At 33.3% G+C, this 9,264-nt stretch overlaps 1 annotated feature.

Annotated features, from left to right (window-relative positions):
* Positions 927-1,594: an enhancer, noted in NCBI's record as "OCT4-NANOG hESC enhancer chr4:137124169-137124836 (GRCh37/hg19 assembly coordinates)". NCBI's record gives its function as "activates a minimal SCP1, AML or CMV promoter by ChIP-STARR-seq in naive H9 embryonic stem cells {active_cell/tissue: H9 hESC(naive)}" and the evidence as "EXISTENCE:reporter gene assay evidence [ECO:0000049][PMID:30033119]".

Raw genomic sequence — 9,264 nt, forward strand, 5'->3', positions numbered from 1 at the left:
GCTTAATAATAAAAACAGAGAAATATACAATAAAGTAAATGTGCATTGTTATTACTTAATCTATAGTACTTGGTGAAGTAACAAATTTTAAGATGATACAGGAAAGATGATGGGAGATTAGGCATGCAGAAGGTATTGCTAGTGCTGGGCATGGTGGCTTACACCTGTAATCCCAGTGTTTTGGAAGGCCGAGGAGGGTGGAACACCAGAAGTCAGGAGTTTGAGACCAGCCTGGCCAACATGGTGAAACCTCGTCTCTACTAAAAATACAAACATTAGCTGGGTGTGGTGGCAGGTGTCTGTAATTCCAGCTACTGGGAGGCTGAGGCAGGAGAATTGCTTGAATCCAGGAGGCAGAGGCTGCAGTGAGTCAACATCATGCCATTGCACTCCAGCCTGGGTGACAGAGCGAGACTCCAACTCAAAAGAAAAAAAAAAAGAAGAAGAAGAAGGCATGGCAAGTGTGTATAAGGTTGAGGGGAAGTATGAAAACAAAATTGAGTGATAGTTTTCTGTGAAGAGAGAACACAACTAGACATATTTTAAGTGGATTGATAAATGTCCACTTAAAGATTATTAAAATGGAAGAATTTTAATAATGTCTGCAGCAAAATATGGTTAAGGATAGTAGGTTTTTGGTAGTAAGATGGAGATTTTAAGTAGTAAAAGTGTTAGTAGGTAAAGTCCAGTTTATTAAAAGCCACATAAACCACGATAAAGGGTTTGGAATTAATCCAAAGTGAAAAAGAATACAACTGAAATATTCTAGAGTGAAATATTAGTGCTTGGATTTTAGAAGTATGAGTAGGGCATAATGAATATAACAGACAGTAGAGGATCAAAGCTGGAAGCAAAGGAACCTGCAAAGCAGATATTGAAAATGATATGAAAAAGACAGTGTGCCTTACCTGTTAGGGTGTACTAAAAGTGGATGATGTTTAAAAACATTTAAACTAAAATCAACAACCCTTTGTGATGGTTTGGATGCCTAGGTTGTTTGAGTTTGAAGAGGAAAGAAAAAATTCCCAACAAAATGTACTCCATCATTTTTTCTCATCCACTCTGTAATGAAGATATATGAATATATGCTGGGGTCTGTCCTGCAGACCCCAGCTGCATGACGGATGAACAACATACTCAGACGCCAATATTCAGTGAAAGAGCAGGCTAGGGGGCCAGGCTGCAGACCAAAAGAGTTGTAGCAGCTGCAGCCCCGACTTGCTGGGCCTGCTGGCATTTATTCAGCACACATCAAATGACAAAGGCTTTAAGTCAACACCACTACAGGGTAATTAACGTGGTTGCCCTCCCCCTGAGAGAGCCATCCTGCCTGCAAATGAACAAAGGTTAGTTTTAGGACCACATGAGTAAACAAGTTATTTAGATAAACTCTCTTACATTCCTTTGTACCTACTTTAAGCTATTTACTTAAGGTAGGAGGATTAGGCTGCCTTCAGCCAGATCTATTACTGAAGTTATGCAACCCACCCCCCTGGACTTCCAAGAAGGTTTGTGTCTATTTCTTATAACTTTTTAAAATTTTTCCCACCAGCCTGCCTGAACTCCCACAAAAATAGACTTGACTTGCTAGGGAGAAATAACAGGAAAATAATCAATATGTATTAAATTAAGTGTGTTTTATAATACCCCCTAGCATATGAAATGCCAACATCTAGGCAAAATGAGAACCTCACTGGCTACAAAGCAGTATTGTTTTTAGTACACGTGCTGTAGTCTGAATGCATTCCCCCAAAATTCATATGTTGAAATCCTAATTCCCAAGGTAATGGCATTAGGAAGTGAGAAGTGTGAAGGTTATTAGCTCATAGGATTGGTATCCTTATAAAAGAGGCCTGAGAAATCTTTTTCCTTTCCATGATGTGGGGTTACAGTGAGAAAACAACAGTCTATCAGGAAGCTGACCATCAGCAGACACCAAATTTGCCTGATCTTGGACTAACTAGCTTACAGAACTGCAAGAAATAAGTTTCTGTTGCTTAAAAGCTACCCAGTATATGTTAGTTTGTAATAGCAGCCCAAATAGACTAAAAATATAACCCTGACCCTACCAAATGCTAACTGGCTATGTTTCAATGCACAGGTCAGAAAATATGTTTCCTTCATATAGAAAATGGTAATTAGCAACAGATATGGTATTTATAAGAAGTTAATACAAAAAAGGAAAAAATCAAAAAATTAAGGGTAAAATTAACTGCAATGAAAACTGAAGATGAATGCTAAATTGCCGTTTTGAGTACTGGACTAATTATGCAAATTATAATGAAGAGTTCACAAAAGCCAAATATATTCAACTACAAAAATAAATTCAATAGTAAATAGGTCAATATTATTAATTTATCATGTTTCCAAGTTCATGAAGTGACAAGGGTAAAAAGTTGAAGCTAAATCATATTATATTCTACATATTAATAAAGGAATTTTAAAACATAAAATTGTTTCTTTACTGAATAAAGGAATTTCAAAACATAAAATTGTTTCTTTACTGAGTACAATGAAAGCAATAAGAGGCCAATATATTAACTCATTAATTTACTAAAACAGAGTTGGAGATTGAACACATAAAAACCTTTAAAATATGTAATGACAAACAAGTAAGAATAATTAAACTTAGTTTCTAATTTCCTCTCCTGAAAATTTGCATGCTTAGGCCTTTGATTTAAGCCAGAATATATGAAAACTAGGGTTTCACAGGCAAGTGACAGGACAAAACAGAGTTGCAGAAAGGAAATTATCTAAGAAGCCTGGAAAAGTTTTTATAGATCATCTTGAGTGGAGAGAAAAAATAATCTAAAATTAATACCATTAGGTAGAGCCAACAAATTCAAATCTTGCTGGAGAAAACTCCAGAGGAATGACATACTTGAAATTCAATATGTGGCAAACATCCATATTTCATTTAAAAATCTTTTGCAGTACAAGTAGGTGTTAGAATGAATAAAAATGACGGTGCTATGGACTGAATGTTTGTGTCTCCCTAAAATTCATATGCTGAAACCCTGATCCCCAGTGTGATGGTATTTAAAGGTGGGTAATTAAATTTAGATTAGGTCATGATGTGGGGCCCTAATTATGGGATTAATGCCTTTATAAAAAGAGGAAGTTGTGCAAGATCTCTCTACACATACCATTTGAAGGTACAAAGAGGAGGCAGCCGTCAGTAAATGATAAGCAGGCTTTCACTAGATACGAGATATGCATGCATCTTGATCTTGGCCCTAGTGTCCAGAACTATGAGAAATAAGTGTTTATTGCTTAATTCATCCTGTCTGTGATATTCTTTGATAGCAGCCCCAACTAACTAAGACAGATAGTAAGATACATTTTTTGGCCTTAGAAGCCCTAAGTTTGGAGAAGAAACACATATTTACAGTAAGGAACTTTGAAGAGAGAAGACTGGGTAGCATCAGTGGATGGGATGTGGAATCATTTAGTCTCACCTTCAGCCTTCACATGTGCTTGCAGCTATTCTGAAGAGGTTAATTATTATCCTATGCCTAAAGTTTCACTCTTCTATTCAGAAAGAAGACTTCTGGATTGCAGTCAGCATCTGGCCTAGCATTCTGCTTTTTATTCATTGTTGGGACATTTATTATATGATATTGACATGGATGAGGTCAAAGTTATAATCCAAAGTAATAGTTTTCTTAATCTATTAATAGTCCTGATGTATGAACCAAAGTACAATGCTATGCAGTGTGTTTTTAGGTTCATTATGTATTTGAAAACAATTAAAACGTGCCAATGTAATTGTAACCATATGGCAAAAATAAGTTAATATTTTTCAACTCTAGATTCAAATTCATATTCATATTTATCGAAGTGAATTATTTATAATGTCTCAATTAATTTAGCAAAGTCAATTACTTTAGTTTTCTTCTCATCAAAATTTACTCGATGAAATTATTAATTTTCTGTATGTTTTGTTTGTTTCCTGTAACTAATATCTCTGTGTTATGGCTTCAGTAGCTCTTGTGCAGATATTTTGCCAAATTTTGAATTTTCATAACAATTTATGAAACATAGTAAGCTGCAAATCCACTATCAGAGCTCACTTTTTCTTTTTTTCCAGGAAGAAGAAAGAGAAATGAAACGAAATATACAATTTTGCCTACATTGTGGATATTATGAACTACTTTTACATTACATTACACAACTTCCTCTCTGAATGATTAGTTATGTATAAAATTTGGAGATATTGTGTAGTGACACCTTAGTGTATTCTTTACAGTGAACATCTAATTTGCATACAGAATTCTCACAATTTATATTATAGTATTATTTCATGGAGTTCCAGAGTATAAAGATAATTTTCCACCTCAAAAAAATATGAAATGTAAGAACTTTTACATTTTAATGAGTTAATGTAATGTTAAAGTTGTTAGGAGACTATGGCCTCTTTGAGAAAACTAATTATACTGTTAATTAATTATAAATTAACACCAAATTTTATTGACTACTATTTAAGACTTATTGTTATCTATTGTTTTGGCAACAAAAAAATTTTACTTCTATCAACTTGATATTTTATTTAGTTGTCTTTTTATACTGATTTATAGTACATCTTTGATAGTTTAAATTAATTATGTGTAAGAAATAATTACTATACATGCTTTTTTCAAACTTATGGCCCGAATTTTTACTTTATTTTCCTTCTGATAACCAGATGTTCTTAACCTTAACATAGTAAAGTTGATCAAATTTCCTTTACACTTGTGTCTTTTATGTTTTTTAAACAAATCCTGCCTTGCAATAATGTCAGAAAAGTTTTTTTTAGATTTCCTTCTACATTTTTCAATTTTGCCTTTATAATGAAATTTTTTAAATACTTGGAAATTATTTGACATGTGTCAGTGATGAAATATCATTTTTATCACAAAGTTAAGCAATTATTTATCCTTGATTTATTTAATGACTCCTTTGTTTCCCACTTTTTAAAAATGCCTGATCTGACAGAAATTGAGTGTGTATTTATTTACTTTTGAGCTGCCTACTTTCTTTCACTGATCCATTAATCTATTCCTCTGTGAATAAACTAATTTCTCAATTATCTTCACATTAGAATTAGAACCTGTGTTTTTTATGTGTTGGGCAAGTCCATCTTACTGCCAACTCATTCTTTGTCAATATTGTCTTAGATTCTTGGTTCTTTGAATGTCCACTTCAATTTTTTGTTCAACAAATAGTGCAGGGAAAGAAAGTTTTTGTCATTTAGATTTGATTGTTAACTAATTGGTTATCTCATTAAAGTGTCAGGAAAATCCCCAAATTGAAAGTAAATTGCACCAATCTGAAAACAGTTTCTATTCTAACAAAATTTTCAAGTCAGTTCAAAGGGTCAATGATGTGATAATGCCTAAGAGTGTTGGGATACAGCAGACACTTAAATACCGATATTTAACACAATAAAGCTTTCTTTGAAGCCAAAGTGTTTCTACTCAGAAGAAACTCTGAAGGAAAATACAAGTTGAATTGGACAGGGATAGTTTAGGGAAGGGAATAGGGTGCTCACTTAAATACAGGGGAAAGAAGGACAGAAGGCAGTTCAAAAAATGTGATTTTCCCCCCTATTGCTTTGTGAACCTGAGAGTAAAGATAGCTCTAGGGCAATGATTCTTACTCTCTCCTAAAAGTATACGGAAACTCATTGCTCTTGAGAATGAATATAAGAAGGAATAGAAAAGGGTTACAACCAAATCCCATGAAAATCTTTTAGAGAATTTACAGATAATAGGAGCAAAATTTGAACTCTACTAACAAGGAAGGTATTCAAGAAAAACATACCCAAAACGTAAAGATATAAAGTACAATCTAATATTTTAAAAAGAAGTAAAGGTTCTATGAAATATATAGCAGTTTTGAACAAATAAAATTAATTAGAATATTCTAGAAATGTATAAATTGGTCATTTGCATCACCATTGTCTCAACCCTACCTGAGATACTTCAATCTTTAAATGTGGGGCAATACTAATAAACTAACAAAGGAAATTGAGATGGAGTGGACAAAAATTTGGGAAAACCAGATGAGAGTAATTTCTAGAATCCAAGAAAAGAAAGTGTTCAAAGAAAGAAAAGAAATTAACTTAGTTAAATTCCATCAAAATATAAGATAAATGAAGATAGTGAAGTAACCAAGGTTTTTAGCAATAGTATTAATGACATCGAGAAGTACAGTTTAGTGGAGTGGTGGGCATGAAAATCTAATTAGAATGAATTCAAGAGAGACAAAGAGGAAATAAATTAAGGTGTGTGTTTACAGGCAAATCTTTCTCCGACATTTTCTACGGAAGATTAAATAAAAAACAGATGGACTATGAATTAACGAGATCATAAGATTTATTTATTTAAGAATGGGAGAAAAATAAGAACATTTATTTATAATACGGTAAAATTCTTATTCTAAAGGGAATGATTCAATAAAAGGGAAAAATTACGATGTAAGAGAGAGAGATGTAAAAAGCCCTGGAGAAATGTTTTTGAGCAATTAGTAAGAACGTTGCGAACAGCTGTTAGGATTGGCCTTAGCTAGGAACATTGACTACTTATACATTTTGAACATCAGGAAAGGTTAGAGAATTTGGAAGTAGAAATGGTTTGATATAGTGATACAAATTAATCTAAGCTATCCTCTGACTTTTTTAATTTTCTCTATGAAGTAGCAAGTGAAGATGGGAGTTAGGAGTGTGAATTGTGGAGGAATTGTCAAAGGAAAAAGAGAAATTATAGAGGACAAATATGTAATAATTGCCTGCACCTCTAGAAGAATAGAGAACTTAAGGCTATCTAGGATGTGTAGCCATAGATCAACTATTTCAGGAATGTCGTGGAAAACTTATTTTAACCCCAAAATGCCACATTTCAGAGAGAGGGATGGATCCCTCTAAGGCATTACTGTCAAATAGAAATAAAGCAAGATTATATCTACATCTATTTCTACTTTTGGAAAATCCTCGTTTTCCCAATAAATGCCAACATCTGCCAAGATCCAGCTAAACTGTGTTAAATTCTCAGGCAGAATTAGGTTGCCTTCCAAATCAGTCTCATATTACTTTGCAGTGATTTCAAAATCGATATTTATCACATCAAATAAAAACATTTAAAAATGATTAACCAACGTGATCCTTCTAACTCACAGACAAAAACTTTATAGTAAGAGTTAGGTTTATTCATTCTTTATGTCCAGACCACAATACAATGACTGGCACATAGCAGGCATACATCAAATACTGTTGAATAAACTAATGAATAATGGAATGTGTTTATTCCATTTAGAATATATGAAAGCTGGGATGTTAAATGACCTTTGGAAGTTCCTGGTAGCCATAAGATTTTGCATTTATATTTTGTAGACTAATATTCAGAGTAGATTTCAAACTGTTTTTGAAATGGGTTGATAGCTCATTTTGTGGGTTGTTTTGAATATTGCTCTAGCAGGCAGAATACATTAGCATTCATCTTAGAAAGGAAGTGGCAGCATATCTATTTCTGTAATTCCAATGCAAGTAATCAGTTTGTTGGGGGAAATAACAAGCTAAGACTTCAAACCAACTTAACTTGAGCTGCCTAGCCTTTTGTTTAGTTGAAAAATTTCCTAGAAAATGTTTGTTGCTTCCTGCTTAGGGATTTTGCTCTGAAAAAGAAATACTTTGCTAATTCTTGCATTTACTGGTGTGCATAAACTATCTCAAGGCCAAATTCAGAGGCAAATTTCCTCAACAGAGAGAGAGAGGAGGAGAAGCATTTTATTTTCATTATGCAACTAATATCTTCTCCATTTGCAAAATAAGATACCTTTGTCTGCTAGTCATTTATGGTTTATACATTTTTGATGACCCCTATTGGGATCTAAAATTTTTACCCACACACATTTAATTCCTTTTCTCCAGAAACCACTATAATTTATTCTCCAGAGGACCGGACCACAATCAGTTCCTGTAAAAATTCTATTTGCATTGCTCCTTTACTCTGATGTAAGTGTAAAAAACAGTGATGTATACTCTTAACCCATGGGCAAAATATGTTTAGCATGTGCAATATGATTAATACCAAGTTCTGACTGAGATATCTGTTGGTTAGTATACCATGTATTCATCTCTATCTTTGCTCAAATTTTCAATAAAAATATTTTTATTATTTTCAGTATGATACTGAAAATATGTATGTCTACCTGTATATCTATGTCTAACTGTTCAGAGTCATACTCTTAAACAGGGGATATGTAATTCTCTATTCTAATTATTATTAAGTTCATTACATATAGTATAAAAGGGAGAGCTGTTATACTATATCCAGTGATATAGTATAAAATCCAGTGATAATTATTCTATGAAAGGTAATATATTAATCATTTCAATATATCTACTTAGACATAAAAGTTATTTAAATGCATTATTTCTAATACTTAATTGCTTTTGTAATAGAAATGCAGCACAAAGCCAAAAATAACACACGCATGCTTACTTGGAGATATGTTTATCTGTATTCTTAGGCATTCATTACCATAAACATAAGAGGGGTATCTCCACTCAATCTGGTTTTTCTCCCAAAGTTTAATGGCTTTAAGCAGGCAGAGTTAAGGGTTGTCGGTAGTTAATAGGATTTTTGTTAGTTTCTTTTAAAGATTATCTATTAGTCTCATCCAATTTTCCTGTAAAATATTAATATACAGAACTTTAGATTCATTGAAACTAACAACTCAAACCTTATTGGAATAGTCATAAGGGTAATGCTTTCTTTAGAAAGAACAAATAATTGATGGAAGGTGTATCTGAGAAACACATGATATCTACAGTTATTTTTTTTTAAATTGTCCTGTTTGTTTATTTGTATTTGTATTTTTATTTTTTATTATACTTTAAGTTCTGGGGTACATGTGTAGAACGTGCAGTTTTGTTACATAGGTATACACGTGTCATGCTGGTTTGCTACAACCATTAACCCATCACCTAAGGTATTAGCTATTTCTCCTAGTGCTATCCCTCCCTTAGACCCTCACCCCCCGACAGAGCCTAGTGTGCAATGTTCTGCTCCCTGTGTCCATGTATTCTCATTGTTCAACTCCCACTTATGAGTGACAACATCCAGTGTTTGGTTTTCTATTCTTGTGTTAGTTTGCTGAGAATGATGGTTTCCAGCTTCATCCATGTCCCTGCAAAAGACAGTAACTCATCCTTTTTTATGGCTGCATAGTATTCCATGGTGTACATGTGCCACATTTTATTTATCCAGTCTTTCACTGATGGAC

The sequence above is a fragment of the Homo sapiens genome, chromosome 4 (assembly GCF_000001405.40).
Source record: "Homo sapiens chromosome 4, GRCh38.p14 Primary Assembly".
Taxonomy (NCBI): domain Eukaryota; kingdom Metazoa; phylum Chordata; class Mammalia; order Primates; family Hominidae; genus Homo; species Homo sapiens.